Consider the following 18,113-nt stretch of genomic DNA (forward strand, 5'->3'; position numbering starts at 1 on the left):
TTTATCAAGCCACTTTCTTCAGGATTACAGACGACATGGTAAACTCACAGAAGTTTCTGAGCATGAACTCACTTCTGCCCCTCTTTGTCTGTGAAATGAGTTCCCTGTTCAGAAGTGATGCTGTGTGAAATACCATGATGGTAGATAAGGTATTCTGTATGTCTATGGATGGTAGTTTTCACAGAATAATTATGTGCTATTTCTTTAAATTTCTATAAATTTCAATTTATAGAAAGAGTAACTATCTTACTATTCAGGGAAAGACAAAATGCTGCCCCTTCCTTGATGAAAGCTGCCCAAGGTAATCAGCCTACCACCAGGGAGTTGCCAGATCATCCTGGGGAATGGTGCCATATGAGGGGCTCAGTGGGTGTTAATTTCTGCTGCTGACAGTTTGAGCACTCAGAGGGAGCTGTAACCTGGTTGGCTATGGTGAGTGGAATTCCAGGTTGCTGTGTGCATGCATAATCCCATCCCTACCACTGTGGCCGCTTTATTCATGAGTCTAGTGGGTGATGACACAGGTGGGTGGGGAATGAAACTGACTAGTGTCATAGAGTGCATTATCCCATCCACTGGATGATTAGAGTCCTCCTCTGCTGAGGTGACCATCCTTTGGTGAGCATCCACATAGGACACAGATGTTTTAAATTTTTGGCCACTCAGAGAGGTCTATTCCTGTACCACTCCTGCAAATTGCTTTGTCACCAATTTTTCAATCATGTATTTTTAAAGACCCTGACCATCTGGCCTAACCATTGGCTGCAACCCTTGGATCATTGTATAATTACACTTCTGAGCAGATTTTCTTCTAAGCAAAGTGCACAACTATATGCCCTCCTTAACATTCTGCTGATTGAGATCTCCCTTTTCTACTAAACTTCAGCAATGGCCCAGATAGGGGCTGTAGTGCCACAGCTGTACAGTTTTGAGTGATGCCTGCATATTGTGCAGAACTGTCAGTAAGTGAGGCTCTAGCCTTCTCTTCTTCAACTGGTTGTAGTTGAGGCCATGATACATGCTTCTAGAGAGAAGGCGGTGTAATGGGAGTGGAGACCATGGGTATTTGGACACTTTATGTATCTTATTTGTGCCTCCTCAGCCTTTTTGGGACCAGTTTTGTATATACTAGTCTCATGTGATGATGGTGCTGTGCACATCCAACTTTATGTCTTGGTATGACAGACAATGCCCAGTTCATAATGGGCAGCTGAGGCTGCCTGGTAACTTAATGGCCCACAGTCATGCATTTCATTTTTGTTAAGACCCAGTGACAAGCCAAGAGCTGCTTATGAAAATAATAGTAGTTATCTGTGGATGATGGCAGGGCCTTGCTGCAAAATCTGAAGGGCCTCCTCTGAATTCACCTGTAGGTATCACTGGTAAACTGGGCTCTTTCCTCACTTTTGATTAGTTGTACAGAAAGAACATTTAATTGAAAAAGACACTTAGGTTTTATTTGATGGCCAGCGACTGGAGAAGGCAAGCTCTTTCTTTAAATGCATGAACAAAAGGCATGGGGTTCTTAAGGACTAGCTGTGGGGGAATGAAAGGAATATTAGCATGTGTGGGGTGGGACTCCAGATGTGCAGGCTCAATTTGTAAACATATGTCTTCATACATCACATATGCACAGAATAGCAGAGATACTCTTTTACGGGTGGGAATTTTAACATTATAATAATATGTTAATGACCTGAAGGTAACTTAAGGTTGCGTGTTCCAGACTCCTTCAGTTTCATAGAGTCTTATCTTTCTCTGTATCTGGTCAGGTGTCAGGATGCTCTGGCATGTTCCTAGGCCATCTGGTTTCCTTCAGCAGCTGTGCCTATAAATAAGGAACTTAAGAAAAAGAGTAGGAAAAAGGAACATTCCCAGTTATTTCATCAGGACTGTCCTAGATGACCTCTGTTTATTTTCTCCTCATTCTTGACGGCTGCTGAGGGGCAGGGGTCCAACTTTTGGAGCTACTTCCTGATGTTTATGGGTGTTGTCACTTGATAAATTAGAGGAGCAAAACCTTTCCCTTGCTATTCTAAGGTAGATCTGATTGTCTCTAGGCTGCAACCCCAATTGCTCATATCCCTGGGTGATTACCCTCTGCAGCTTGATTGCTTCCAGTCTCATTCTTAACCTGAATACTGGGGTCAAAAATTGATTAAAAACAGGATCATCACCAGCAGGCCAAGCAGGAACAAAGTATGGTTGAACAGGACACTCTTTATTGCACTCCAGATGTCCTTAGAGCTGCTCTTGGTCAACACAAAGGAGTGAGGCCGTTCTTCTTGTTTGAATATTTGCTTTATTTTAGCTTCTATCTCCATAGAGGGTTTAACCCAGGTGCAACAAGTGGTATTGGTGATCACACATACTCTTGTTTATTTTGCCAGGAGCTAGTCTAAGGCTAACTGATTGTCCAGCACTACATTAGCTAGCCGATTGAAAGAAGGTTGTATATTTTGAATAACCTTCCTGGTATTACTTGCTAGATTTTTTGTTTGGGTTGTATTTATTAGGGTATCCTCATGTACGTACAGTGCTTTTCCCCACTCACGGGTCAGCCAACTCTACAGCAAGTCCTCGAGCCAGGAGCATCCCAAGACTCATCTTTGGCCTACTGTAATGGCAGGTTGTATTATGAATGGTTATCTCACTGTATTCCATAACACCTGTTGTACATTGTCCTATATGTATTTCATTATCTACAGCAGGGTGATCTACCACTAGCAATGGGGAGGAAAAAGTAGCAGCAGAGGAGCTGTTAGGGAGGTGGTGGTGAGGAGAGCCGCAAATGACCACATACTTTGGGGATGCACAAACCCTTGTGGGAATGCGGAAGTTTAGCCCATGAAGTAACTGAGAGCCTCAAGGGGGAGGGGAAGTCTTCTGACAATGACAGAGGGCCCTCTTGAGTTCAGGTGAAATTTATATTTCTTATTGGAGCTGGAAATATTGCTGGAGGAGGGGGTGCATAGTAGAGTCAACAATATTTTTCATTTCCTGAGGTGAGTGCTAGACTACAAAAGTAGTTGATTTTAGGAGCGGGATCCATGCAACCCATATGCTGAGAATTTCTCAGGTAGACAGCAACAGGTGTAGGTGGTTAGATTTCCATGGCAGCATTCTAAGGTTGAAACCACCTTCCCGAAGGTACACACTGGGCCCTGCGCCCCCAGTCTTGGGGTACCTGTGGTTATATAGCATTCAGACAGATTGTTTGCACTGGCTATGTAATATGGGAAAATTTGACTGTCGTGTTGGTGTCCCAGAGACCCTTGGATGTTGAGGACTAAAAGGACCAAGTGGTATAAGAAAAAGTCAGAGTAAAGTTTTACTTACCTAGCTTAAGTATCCTGAGGTGGCTAAGAGATGAGGAGGTAGAGGGTGAGATAGTTCAAGGAAACACTGTGGGACTATCAGGGAGTCCTGAAGGTGTATAGTTAAGATATATGTAATTTTCTATCAAGATGCCAGGAGGGCCACAAGTCAGGGATACATGATCAAGATGATCTGGAATAAAAGGAAACAGATCTCTAAGCCAGAGACCAGCTTTGAGGACTACAGGACAAGCCCTAATGCCATCAGATAGCCCACAAGAACACTCCTGGCGGGTAGAGACATTTAAGTGTTACAGCAGCGACCGTTTAGATGGGTCAAAGTATCCTGTACTTATATTTTTGGGAGTCAGGTTGGTTTTTCAGAAGAGCAATTTTAAATCTGAGATGGGTTAAGCCTGGTACGAGGGAATTTACTGCACTGGTGCATCCACTCATTTCACTCATGTGTGATGAAGCTGCGGGGTGACTCCCTGAAGCTTTAAGGCAGCATGTGTTGTCAGAATCACCACGTATGGCCCCATTCGTTTTGGACCTAATTGCCTCTCTGGACTTTGAACCTTCCAGATTTTCAGATATACCTAATATCGATGGACATAAGGATGCAGAACCAGGTCTGTCGGTGATGGAGAATCCTGGTTTCTATAAGCTGCAAGAACACGGGCCACGTTCCTAATATGTAACGCATATTTTAGTTGTTCCAGTTCCTGTAGGCTCAACCACTTCCCTGTGGTTGCCTCTGGGATTGATCTCCCATACATTGAACACCGAGTTAAAATGCACTCAGTTAAAATTATTTTGGGGGGTGCAGTCCTTATTCTAAGGAGAACTATGGTAAGAGAGGAAGCCAGTTTTTGTTGGTTTCCCAGCACAGTTTAGCCAACATTCTGTTTAAGCTTTAGTTGATTCTTTCTATTTTTCCTGAGGACTGGGATCTCCATGCTGTGTGGAGTTTTCAGGGGATTTCTAGGCCTTGGACTAACTTTTGCATAATTTCAGATATAAAAGCTGGCCTGTTGTCACTGTATGGCTTTAGTCAGCCCGAACATAAGGTATTTTTTTTTTTTTTGACAGAGTCTTGCTCTGTCACCCAGGCTGGAGTGCAATGGCACCATCTCTGCTCACTGCCACCTCCACCTTCTGAGTTCAAGCGATTCTCCTGCCTCAGCCTCCCTAGCAGCTGGGATTACAGGTGCCCGCCACCCCGCCCAGCTAATTTTTATGTTTTTAGTAGATATGGTGTTTCACCATCTTGACCAGGCTGGTCATGAACTCCTGACCTCGTGATCCACCTGCCTTGGCCCAAAAGTTCTGGGATTACAGGCATGAGCTACCATGCACAGCCAGGAATTTTTTTTTTTTTTTTTTTTTGAGACGGAGTCTTGTTCTGTAGCCTGGGCTGGAGTGCAGTGGCGTGATCTCAGCTCACTGCAGCCTCTGCCTCCCAGGTCTCGGTTCAAGCAATTCTTCTGCCTTAACCTCCCAAGTAGCTGGGATTATAGGCACACGCCACCATACCCAGCTAATTTTTGTATTTTTAGTAGAGATGGGGTTTCACCATGTTGGCTAGGCTGGTCTTGAACTCCTGACCTCGTGATCCACCTGCCTCGGCCTCCCAAAGTGCTGGGATTACAGGCGTGAACCACTGTGTCCGGCCAGAAAAAATTTTTTTAAGAGAAGGCATGCTACCTAGAAGGTGTTCTCAGTGGGAGTTGGGAACACCTGCACCCATCCTGGGAAGATATCACCCACAACTAGAAGGTATCTAAAGTTCCCAGAAGTCTGGGACATGACTATAAAGTATAGTTGCCAGTCCTCACCAGGGTAAACTCCCTGAGTTGTACTGGCTTAACATGAGGCCTTGGGGGTGGTCTGTTAGGGGGCTGTTAGTCTGGCAGAGAGAGCAAATCTTGGTCGCTTGCTGTGCTGTCTCTCCAAGGTTAGGAGTGGTCATCATTTGAAGGAGCCAATTGTACAGGGTTCTGTACTATAATTTCAGCTCTCATGGGCCTCCTTAACTACCTGGGTGGCTATGGCTTTTGGAAAAATCTCTTGTCTCTGGGAGTTTTCAAGCCATCCTGGATATCCTCCTCTTTTTAGGAACACTTCCCTGGGGGTTACTGCTAGGGAGCCGGTGTGTCACCTACAGCAATTGCTGTATAATACCATGTCTGATACAGCAGCTACTGGTGTTAAGGAGGCTGTAGGTCTCAGGAGGGACCAGGTATCATAAGGCACTTCATGGGGAGAGTCTAATTCAGGAAATATTTGCTTGCCTTCTCTGGGTTTTATCTTTGTGGAAGTCAATTTACACTTCTTTTGCAGTCCGTTATTCTGGCATAGGGCCATGAAGTACTGCATTTTGCTTTTGGCAAAAGCTGTCTTCTTAAGAGATTTTCCCACTTTCTGAAATGAAAATATGTTATAAATATTTTCAGAGTAGTTGTTAACTGCACATCCACTGGGTTGAATCTGTATAATGCCATCAATGCCATGGACCAGTGTGATACCTTGTGAAAGGGGAAGGTGATCAGCTTCTCTGCAAATTGTGACTTAGTGAAGGAGAGTTGATACACCTTTGAGGTAGGACAGAGAAGGTATATTACTGGCATTGTTGCTGAAATTGAACTGCTTCTGATGGACCTTATGGAGAGAAACAGAGAAACAGCATTCACTAGATCAATAGGAGTATACAAGGTACCAGGGTATGTGTTAATTTTCTCAAGCAATAATATAATGTCTGATATAGTAGCTGCAATTAGAGGGAACACTTGGTTTACCTTATGGGAATCCACTGTCACTCTCCAGGATCCATCTGTCTTTTGCACAGGCCAAATTACACAGGTGTGTGGTGAAATCACAACCCCTGCATCATTCAAGACCTTGATAGTGGTGGTAATCTCTGAAATTTCTCCAGGGATGTGGTTATGAATTTGATTTTCTATTTCCCTAGGTAGCTCTAGTGCCTTCCATTTAGGATTTCCCACCTTACTAGCCCTCACTCCACAGGTCAGGGAACCAATGTGGGAAATGGGCCTAGTGCTAACTATGTCTATTACAGCTGTGCATCTGCAACTGGGGAAATTACCAGAGTATGTGTTTGTGGACCCACTAGACCCACTGTGATTTGATCTGACTAAAACTTGATTAATCACCTGACCTCCATATGCCCCTGCTCTGACTAGCATTCCATAGTGATGTTTTTGAGTCTTGTGGAATCAATGTGAGCTCGGAGCCGGTGTCTAGTAGTTCCCCAAAGTTCTTACTATTTTCCTTTCCCTGAAACACAGCCTGTTAAAAGGCTGTAGGTCCCCTTTTAGGAAGGATAGGAGAAAGATTAACAGAATAAAAGCTTTTGTGGTATACCTGGGTCCTTCATCAAGGGGACCTGGCTGCTCCCTCCTTCAAGGAATTCTTGACTGTAAACTGGCTCTAATCTGGGATTTGAGTAGGGGCTGTGATTCTCTACTTTTCTGTTTTGAGTTAAACTTCTGTAAACTTAACATGAATGTTTTCAGTATATTCAGATCAATTAACAACTTATTAGGCTCTTACGTATTTCACTTCTAAGAGTACCAGGATTTTCTGGCCAACACCATAGATCAAATTGAGTCAGACTGACCTGACTGTTGGTTTACCTTTGCTGACTGTTAACGGTAACTATGCCCACCTTGACTTTGAAGGTTGACAGCTGCCATTTGGCCCTGGGACTCCTGAGATCCACTTATTCTCAATGCATTTAAATTTTTTATTGAGTGACTGTGGTTTTCATTCTACAGAGAAAGCAGGAGGTTATTCGAGGATGCTGGGCTCCCCTCACAAATCTGTTTCTCAAAGTATTGCAGAAAGGTGTGTCTTCTGGACACTCCCAGAGTAGGTGAGTAAATTTCAAATGACAAGTGCATTCCAGAGTCCCATTTGTTCTAAGCCTTTGAATCTTTTCCTCCACATAGGCCAAGGGAGATCACACACATCCAACTGGATAAAGGAGGGCCATCTTTTGATTCATGGTTCAGCCAACCAAACAATTAGAGCCCTTTCTAACTCCCCATACTGCAGCACTAAAACCAGTGTCTTTGTTTAATGGGTCCATATCAATAAATTTGGGCTGATCCGACTTTATGTTTTCTCCACCCATTATCCCAACTCTTAATATCCTTTTCCACATGTGTTCCCCAGATTTCTGCTTGTATAAATTAGAAAACTCAAATAGTTTTCTTGGACTGTAATGAAGTTCCTGTGGGTCAAACTTTGTATGTCATTTTTAAGGGACTGTTGGAATTCGAGTCTACTTACAGATCCAGAAGCAAAAAGGAAGTGGTGGGTGTGGGGTCTGAGGAGAAGCAGCACTGCATTCCTCAGCAACTGCTTCAGGGGAGTCCACTATCTTTTCCTCAGGCAATGCTGGATTACTCCCTTCAAACAGAGGTGGAACTGGATATACCAATGTGGGTGGGGAGGCCACTGCCATGGAGATGGGTGTAGGGGGCCATTTTCACTGGCAGAGACATCAGAATTTCAGAGCTCAATGTCTCCAACCTCCACACAGTCTCCCAACATGTTCCTAACCCAGTTTACAGGGTTTCATTCTTTCCTGAACAGTGCTATAAATTTACAGTAGACACCTTGCTAGGCTGGAAAGTCAACTTTCACAGTAATTCAGCCAACTGCTTGGTGATGGCTTGTGTTTCATTTTCAGCATTTTCAGCCCTATGACTACAGGAGATACAATTCTCTCTCAGAGCACTGTAAGGCTTTTTATGTGGAGCTGGATTCTGAAGTTTGAATCTCTTAGTTTATCTTTTTTTATTCATCCCTTTGCTCAGCAACACTAGAAGCAGAGTCCTTAAGTTTTCCACTGATATTTAAAGATAATGCTTTCAGAGTCACCAAGTTCCTTGCCTCTTATCAGTGGTTGATTACTAGTGTCAAAGGCAGATGTTTGCATGTCTCTTAAGCAGTTCATGAAATGGACTAGCAGTGTGTTCTCTTTACTATTAGAAGTAGAGTCTTAAGCATTTTTAGGTATCATCAGGTTACCGATCCAAAATTTTAGAAACCCCTAAGCCAGTGAAAAAAACTTATCCTTGAAATTTTGTTCCCTATAACCCATTCATGGTTAAAAAAAATCTGTATTACGGTTCTTTAGAGAGAGAGAACAAATAGGATAGATACATAGACAGACAGATGGGGGGAGATTAATTACAGAAATTGGGTCACATGATTATGGAACCTAAGGCAGATCTTCTGCAAGCTAGAAACGCTGAAATACCAGTAGCATAGCTCATTCCAAGTCTGAAAATCTCAGAATGAGGAAAGTTGACAATGTAATTCCCAGTCTGAGGTTAAAGGCCTGAGAATGTGGAGGGATGCAGAAGTAAGTTCTGGGGTCCCAAGGAAGAGAGCTTGTAGTTAAGATGTCCAAGGGCAGGAGGTAGAGAGTGTGCCAGCTCCAGGAGAGAGGGAGAGCAAAATCATTTTCACTCCTTTTTTGTTTTTTCTGGGCCCTCAGCCCACTGGATATTGCTCACACACAAAGTGAGTGGATTGTTACAGAACCGAACTGGGGTCTGTTCACACAGAGCAGCAAGCCCAGGTATCTACATTGATGTTTGCAGTGGGAGAAAAAGAGGTGTTTATGTGCATGCTGTCAAGAAAGAAGAATCACGCAGCTAATGCTTAAGTTCCCACTTCCCCAATGGCTTGTAGGTAAGGGTTAACTGAAGGGGTAAATTTCAGGAAAGCAGAAGTTTTTGGCAAAACTATAAATCAATACATGGAGTATTGCATTGGTTTTGTTATAAAACGATGGGATATCTTTTTCTTTCCTTTTTCTTTCTTTTTGAGACGGATTCTTACTCTGTTGTCCAGGCTGGAGTGCAATGGCACAATCTCAGCTGACTGCAACCTCCGCCTCTCGGGTTCAAGCAATTCTCGTGCCTCAGCCTCCTGAGTAGCTGGGACTACAGGCACCTGCCACCATGCCCGGCTAATTTTGGTAAATTTAGTAGAGACAGGGTTTCACCATATTGGCCAGGCTGGTCTCGAACTCCTGACGTTGTGATCCGCCCACCTCAGCCTCCCAAAGTGCTGGGATTACAGGCATGACCCACCGTGCCTGGCCAAGGATGGGATATCTCGAAGCAGTGCTCAAGCAGGGGCTTATAGGTTATATACAGATTCAAGGGTTTCTGATTTGCAGTTGGTTAAAGAAGAGAAGCTTTGTTTTAAAATTTGGGGTCAGTAGAAAAACGTGTTAGCTCTGGCTCACGGATATGACTCCCTGTAGGCCCCTTAGGAAGATATTTAGGACAACAGCAGTCAGAGTTCAGCCTTCAGGTCTCTCTTATCTGAGGTCTCCGTGTCAGCAGATCCATTTGGTGGGGGTCCAGGTTTATGAAAAATGACTCAGCAATGTATGTTAAGATGGTATCTTTGGTTTTCATGGGGAACAAAACAAACATCTTCTAACTGTAACATCCTTGGCTATTGTTTGAGCTACTATTACCTTCTTGCTTATCAAGTTCTTCATTGACTTCTCAGTGCTAGCTAGGTACCTGGGATTTGCCTTGAAGGGACTCACGATTTTCCTTTATTTCCCTGCTTGGGGAACCCATAGGCCCCTAACAAGGGGTCCCTGCTCTATCACAGGATCTTCCGCACTCTGTCCACTGACTCACGTATCAGACTTTTCTGGTGAAACCCTCATAGACCCAGAAGCAATGCTTTGCCAGTGTTCTAGGTGTTCCCTAATACAGTTAGTTGACTCCTAAAATAAAACATCACAATTGGGTTTTGGAGTGTCACCCAAGCAGGTTTCTCATGAGGAGTTCAAAGTGCTGGGTTAATGTCAAGCAACCATGATTTCCATAGCATCGTGCTGTGACCAAGAGTTGGTTATTGCAGAATATCTATGCATTTCCCTGAAGGGTCTGTGGGGGTGAAATAAGTGTTGTGTCCAGCTGTCCTACGTGGAATAGTCACCTGGAGAGCATTTTATAAGGACAAATATGGAATTACCACATTGAGGAAATTGGAAGAGGGCACAAACTGGAAACTATCATGGATTTCTAAACCCTATTTCTGGTATGAGCAAATCAAACCTATATCCAAAATAAATGCCCAAGTAATATGAAATTTAAATAATTCACAGCAACATTTAAAATAGGAGTTCTTGTAGTGCAGTAATAACTCTAACTCTAATCCTTAGGTAGCAGGTAAACCCAGTTGTTCAACTAATTTGAAACTAGTTGAGCATGTTTCTTCAATAATAGACCAGAATACATCAGATGAGCCACCATGATTTTATGCTGAGAAGGAGGCAGTCATAGAGAAAAAGAGCGTGTTCCATTTATATTAAAGGGCATATTTTTTACATATTTCAAGTAGAGATGGATCATAAAATTAATATTGTAAGAACACTGTTAATCAGAAGACAGTCATAATGTGATTGCCTTTGTGTGCACACACATGAACTTGGTGTAAAAAACTCATTTTCACATTCTGGTGATACTGTTAATATAACTCATAGTGGGATATCAGTAGTTAAGAAAGATAATCTAACAGAAGGTTTTATGGTACTCACAATAATTGTGGCATCAACAAAGCTTCTAATTAGTAGTGATGATGCAATGTTGGGAAAATTCATGGACAACCTAAGTTGAAAAGTGATTTAGAAGAGTTTTATCTAAATATTACCTATTTGTCTGTTTTCATGCTGCTGATAAAGACATACCTGAGACTGGGCAATTTACAAAAGAAAAAGGTTTATTGGACTTAGAGCTCCATGTGGCTGGGGAGGCCTCACAATCTTGGTGGAAGGCAAGGAGGAGCAAGTCATGTCTTACATGGATGGCAGCAGGCCAAGAGAGAGCTTGTGCAGGGGAACTCCTCTTTTTAAAACCATCAGATCTCATGAGACATTGGCTATGGTGAGAACAGCATGAGAAAGATGAAACCAGTGAAAGATGATTCAATTATCTCTGACCAGCTCCCTCCCATGACACGGAATTATGGGAGCTACAAGATGAGATTTGGGTGGGGACACAAAGCCAAACCATATCATCTATTTTACTCTTATTTTCTATCTCATGTGATCATAGGAGTTACATAAGACATATATGTAAGTTCAAAAGTATTATTTTCACTATATATGAGATAAAATTTTTAAGTGGTAAGAAGAGTTACAGTTTTCCATAGTTTTATGCTTTTATTGAGACATAAAATAACAATGTATTTTACAATTGATGCATATGAAAATTACTTGAAAAAAGCTGTCAATAGTAGCAAATACTGACTTTTAATGTTTGGTGTAGACCTTTGTAAACCAAAAACAACTGAGACGTATCTCATTCATTTTAGAAAATTATTTTGTCAATTTTAAGGTTATGCCTGGGAAAAGGAAACACAAGTAACGGTAGGATGTTTGACCTGTACTTTTTCCAAAGAGGGTTTTGCTAACTTCAGTATTTATGGGGGTGAGACCACACTGAATGAAAAGGAGGAAAAGAAAATAAAGTAGGGGATAGGCAGTGGGTCAAGTGGTACATTCTTGTAAGGCCTTGATTAGCACTCACTACATTCTTATGTTACAAGTGTAAAGAGGAGTGGGGAAAAAGTTGATGTGCATTTCTTTAATGCTTGGTAGATATACATTTTACATAAGATAAGTGAACTTGTGAAATTACAGCTGTCTGTTTGGGAAACAAAAGGAAGGTGGTATTTGCATGACTCAGTTCCCAAGTTTTCCTTTGGCATAGTGAGTTTGGGGTCCCAAGATTTTATTTTCCTTGTTCTTTAAAATATTTCAGAGAAAGCATTTTAGAAGAAAATGAGTGTTTGGTTATGTTTTTCTCCCTGATATTTCAACACTACAATGGTTTACTCCTAGAATGTTAGGTTGCACATTTTTAAGAAGACTCATTCTAGAAGGTTGTGAAGAAATAGGGGGAAGAAGAAAGAAAGGAAAGAAATAAGAAAAAAGGAAACAGCTGGATTATAGCAACAAAGTAGAAAGCGATTCTGGAAAACTTATACAGGCTATATTACAGAGCAGTCCATATATCACTAGACAGTCATGAAAATATTTTGTGTACATAAACAAGATGCTGTTATTTCTCCCAAAGTTTAAGTTTTCTAGCTTCAGTCTGCAGGGCTTTATGAAAAGCACAGTTTTAATTTCTACTGATCCTAAGTCAGAAGAAATGGGAAAGAAGAAAAAAAAGATGTTGAAAATGCTTGTTTAGATATTTGTAGCCAGCAAAGAATTTAGGATCCAGTCCAGCTAAATTGTAGAAAATTATAAAACTGGAAGGCAATGGACAAGGCTAGAATCCAATAAAAGATATACTATAATTTCATTTGAAATTTATATTTTTTTCTCCAGTCTTCCATTTTTACTTAAGACAGATCATAGTAGGACCAATTTATTTTCAAAATAAGTTTTAGTTTATTTTACTTGACGTGATTATTTTCACAAAGTGTAGCAAGAATAATTTTTTTCATATAGGCTCTTATAAATTGGCTTTGATGGAGCATTTTTAATAAGGTATCTAAGATGTGACTTTTCAAAAAGCCTCTCAAACTCAACCAAGTATTTGCTGTGCCTGCAAATAACTACATGAATTGGGAGAATTCTTCTCATCTTGAGATCACAAGATTACTTGGAGTTCCTAGGCCTCTCAAAGTAACTTTTCCTGCCACAGGTCAGAAAACCTGCAAAGTAACTGCATAGAGAAGGTACAAAGCCCGTCTTTCCAGGAGGATTTTATTGCTCTATAATTCAACCTAAATTCCTCAAAGCAATCTGCTTATAGATGAAAATACGCTATTCCAGGCAAAGCCTTGGCAAGATAACCAGCATCTCCAATTGTGTCCCATTAAAAAAAAGATTATTATCGATTATATGCAAATAACTTATATTGCTGTATATTAAGAATATTCAGAAATAGCTTTCAAATTTTGGAGAAGTACAGGTAGAGGGAAATATGCTTCAAATTTTTCTCAAGAGTATTCTGTACTCAATTGTTAAAAACTGTAAATAACTTTTAGAAAGTTTACTCTGAAAAACAAAACGAAAAGAGTCATCAATGTTTCAAACAAAAAAGTCCTAAAAAGTTATTTCAGTCTTCTATTAGTTCAGTCCCACATAATTAACTTGTTCTACTTTATATTGGCTTAGCAATCCTCATGAACACATCAGCGTGTTAATTAGAGTTCTGGAAGTTTTTTGGGTTTTTTTTTATTGTTGTTTTCACTAGTACAATGGCACAATCTCCAAAGTTATCAGAAACCTAAATTCAAGAAAACTGGTCAGAGTCATTTTCATGAACTCCACTGAAGAAGCGAGTTTTGGCCCACTGCTTTTTTATAAACCACTTTTTTGAGAATATTTAATGTAAAATAATAGTTGTGAATGAAAAACTAAGACAGCATGTTTACAGGCAAAGCTGACAAGGAAATTTGGTTATTTCTGTGGCATACAACAATTTAACATAATCATAATTATTACCGATAACATATAGTAAGACATATCAGAATTACTAGCATCTCATATGATAATGGAGCACAAACTAATAAAACATTTAGATAAATAGAACCCAAAGTAAGTTAAATATTCAACCATGCTTCCTGTGTGATTTTTTTTATTATAGTTTAAGTTTTAGGGTACATGTGCACAACATGCAGGTTAGTTACATATGTACACATGTGCCATGCTGGTGTGCTGCACCCAGTAACTCGTCATTTAACATTAGATATATCTCCAAATGCTGTCCGTCCCCCCTCCCCCCACTCAACAACAGGCCCCGGTGTGTGATGTTCCCCTTACTGTGTCCATGTGTTCTCATTGTTCAGTTCCCACCTATGAGTGAGAACATGCGGTGTTTTGGTTTTTTGTCCGTGCGACAGTTTGCTGAGAATGATGGTTTCCAGCTTCATCCATGTCCCTACAAAGGACATGAACTCATCCTTTTTATGGCTGCATAGTATTCCATGGCGTATATGTGCCACATTTTCTTAATCCAGTCTATCATTGTTGGACATTTGGGTTGGTTCCAAGTCTTTGCTATTGTGAATAGTGCCACAATAAACATACGTGTGCATGTGTCTTTATAGCAGCATGATTTATAATCCTTGGGGTATATACCCAGTAATGGAATGGCTGGGTCAAATGGTATTTCTAGTTCTAGATCCCTGAGGAATCGCCACACTGACTTCCACAATGGTTGAACTAGTTTACAGTCCCACCAACAGTGTAAAAGTGTTCCTATTTCTCCACATCCTCTCCAGCACCTGTTGTTTCCTGACTTTTGAATGATTGCCATTCTAACTGGTGTGAGATGGTATCTCATTGTGGTTTTGATTTGCATTTCTCTGATGGCCAGTGATGATGAGCATTTTTTCATGTGTCTTTTGGCTGCATAAATGTCTTCTTTTGAGAAGTGTCTGTTCATATCCTTCACCCACTTTTTGATGGGGTTGTTTGTTTTTTTCTTGTAAATTTGTTGGAGAATGTGCAAAAATCACAAGCATTCTTACACACCAGTAACGGACAAACAGAGAACCAAATCATGAGCGAACTCCCATTTGCAATTGCTTCAAAGAGAATAAAATACCTAGGAATCCAACTTACAAGGGATGTGAAGGACCTCTTCAGGGAGAACTACAAACCACTGTTCAATGAAATAAAAGAGGATACAAACAAATGGAAAAACATTCCATGCTCATGGGTAGGAAGAATCAGTATCGTGAAAATGGCCATACTGCCCAAGGTAATTTATAGATTCAATGCCATCCCCATCAAGCTACCAATGACTTTCTTCACAGAATTGGAAAAAACTACTTTAAAGTTCATATGGAACCAGAAAAGAGCCTGCATTGCCAAATCAATCCTAAGCCAAAAGAACAAAGCTGGAGGCATCATGCTACCTGACTTCAAACTATACTACAAGGCTACAGTAACCAAAACAGCATGGTACTGGTACCAAAACAGAGATATAGACCAATGGAACAGAACAGAGCTCTCAGAAATAAAGCCGAATATCTACAACCATCTGATCTTTGACAAACCTGACAAAAACAAGAAATGGGGAAAGGATTCCCTATTTAATAAATGGTGCTGGGAAAACTGGCTAGCCATATGTAGAAAGCTGAAACTGGATCCCTTCCTTACACGTTATACAAAAGGTAATTCAAGATGGATTAAAGACTTAAATGTTAGACCTAAAACCTGTATGATTTTTAACACATGAAATAGGCCAAATGTGTCTCTCTTGGACTTCAGGGGAACTAATATTTAAAAAGTTAATTAGGCCATTAAGACTGAATTTAGAATTCGATTTGGAAATTTTGTCAAATATCAAAGGTTCAAGACACTTGATGTTACAAAACAGAACCAGTGATCAGTATAGAATAAATTATTAAGCCAAAAATGGTATTTTAAATATTTTTAAAAACCAAAACCTTTATTATTTGATAGAAAGAGAAGAGACTCAGTTTCTCAAACAATAAGGTCTAATATTGGGCCTGGTGTGAAGGTTCACATTTATAATCCCAGCACTTTGGGAGGCCAAGGCAGGAGGATTGCTTGATCCCAGGAGTTCAAGAACAGCCTGGGAAACATATTCTTTCCCTGGGGTAGCTCCTGTTCTTTGGGTTCTGGGGGTAATAAGCTGTTGATTGAGGGGATAATTCTTAAGGCAAGTCTCACAAGCATTAATGACCTATTTGACTGTTGGTAGCACATTTTTACCTGAAAACAATCTCTGGGGCAATTGATAGGTTTTATTCTTACTTTGGTGGAAGGCCTGGTGAAGGTTTCCATTGGCCGGCAGCTGGTAGATGAACCTTGCCATCCTCTGATTGTAACCATCCTGAGGACTGAAACATGTATCCCTGAGAGGTGGCCCATTCTGTTTCCACAGAAGAATATTGAGGTTTTATCTTACAGAGCCTTCCCAGATCAGAGGGGCTTCAAGTGGATCAGAAAAACGTTTTTGATCCACTGTTTGGTCTGCCAGCATAGAACTGACAATAAAATACCCAAAACATGTCCTATAATCTCTGGGACTGGGTCACATTCACCTGTAGATCCATCCAACCATATTTAGACCCAACAAAATTTAGAGGTGGACTCAAATGCAATGATTTACCATCAGCCACAAAGAAATATAAGGAAATTAGTCATTTTACAATTGGTATATTATAGCTAGAAGTGATATGCCACTCATTTGAAATTCTAGCTTCAAATGAAATTAAGAGCACCTATTATGAGTACCTCCTAACCTGAAAGTCTCCTAAAGGAACACTCTCTCAGCATGGACAAACATGTAAGATACACTGGAAACACTCAAACTTTTGGCAGATAAATCAGCTGCCTATAAGGTAATATTTATTACAAACCTAATACAAATACTAAGAAATAAACCCTGGAAGGCACTAAAATTAAATTTATGTTCAATATAAAAGTCTCAAATTTTATTTAAAATTGGGCTGTATACCTTGGCAAAATAAACCAACATAGAGAAATTGGTAACCCATGTAAAGTAATTCACAATCTAAACAAAATGATTGGCAAGCAAGGACATAAAGGCCAAACTGGCAACAGGACCATCTAAGGCCACCATCCGGATACCAAAATAACGGGAAAGACACTCCTGAATTCCAAGACTAAACCCACCTCTTCAGAAACAGCAGTGAAAACAGAAATTTTACAAGACATTTTTTTCTTAAATCTTGGACCCCCCCAGGCTATAATACTTGAACTTGGGGATCACAGGACATATATACACTGGCTATAGAGATAGACAAATATACACATATGGACACATTTCTTTTAGACACCAGATGACAAATAAGCCTCCTTAGATACAGCGTACCACACTTTGATACAAACATCTCTATAAAGGACTGAGGAATATTAACTAGAGTCTCCCCAGTCTCTGCTTCTATATGCACTATAAATGTATTTCTTGCATGTTTTACTGTTCACCAAAATTAGAAAACATTACAGAAATGGATTGATTGCAAAGCTTTTAAACCTGAGGTGGCTTATTAAGAAACTAAAGGAATGAAAGTTCTCTGACCTAACACAAATTAAAATGAAACCTCTAACAGTGACTACACCCCACCAGGCTACATACACTAAACAGTACCCATTACAGGGAATACATGAAGAAATAAAAGCAAAGGATGTGGACTCCTCAAAGAAGATATTACTATAATGGGCATATTGAATAACTTTAATTGTCCAGTATGGCCTGTCCTGAAACCAAATGAGAGCTATAGATGAACTATTGATGATACCAATTTAAATAAAGTCTCACCTAAAATGCCAGAAACATTACCAGATGTAGAATTTATTATTACAATTTCTTACTATAATCAAAAAGACTATGTAACCATAGACTTGTTAGATAGTGTCTTTGTTTTACCAGTAAAGAAAACCAGGAATATACCAACTTTATTTACAAAGACAAAAAATACTAATTTAAAAGTTTAATGCAAGGCAATTAAACAGCCCACTGTATTTTTTTTTTTTTTTTTTTTGAGACGGAGTCTTGCTCTGTTGCCCAGGCTGGAGTGCAGTGGCGCAATCTCAGCTCACTGTAGGCTCCGCCTCCCAGGTTCACGCCATTCTCCTACCTCAGCCTCCCGAGTAGATGGGACTACAGGCGCCTGCCACCATGCCCGGCTAATTTTTTTTTTTTTTTTTTGTATTTTTAGTAGAGACAGGGTTTCACCGTGTTAGGATATCCGGTTTGGATCTCCTGACCTCGT

At 40.5% G+C, this 18,113-nt stretch overlaps 1 long non-coding RNA gene across 1 annotated transcript in view; it reads left to right on the forward strand.

Annotated features, from left to right (window-relative positions):
* The window catches only part of PWRN4 (Prader-Willi region non-protein coding RNA 4), a 113,008-nt gene that overhangs the window by 21,077 nt on the left and 73,818 nt on the right, over positions 1 to 18,113 (forward strand). The window contains exon 4 of the long non-coding RNA NR_126392.1: positions 7,115 to 7,212. This is a non-coding gene — a long non-coding RNA (Prader-Willi region non-protein coding RNA 4). The remainder of the gene's footprint in view (positions 1 to 7,114; positions 7,213 to 18,113) is intronic.

This window comes from Homo sapiens, chromosome 15 (genome assembly GCF_000001405.40).
Source record: "Homo sapiens chromosome 15, GRCh38.p14 Primary Assembly".
NCBI classification, from domain to species: Eukaryota; Metazoa; Chordata; class Mammalia; order Primates; family Hominidae; genus Homo; species Homo sapiens.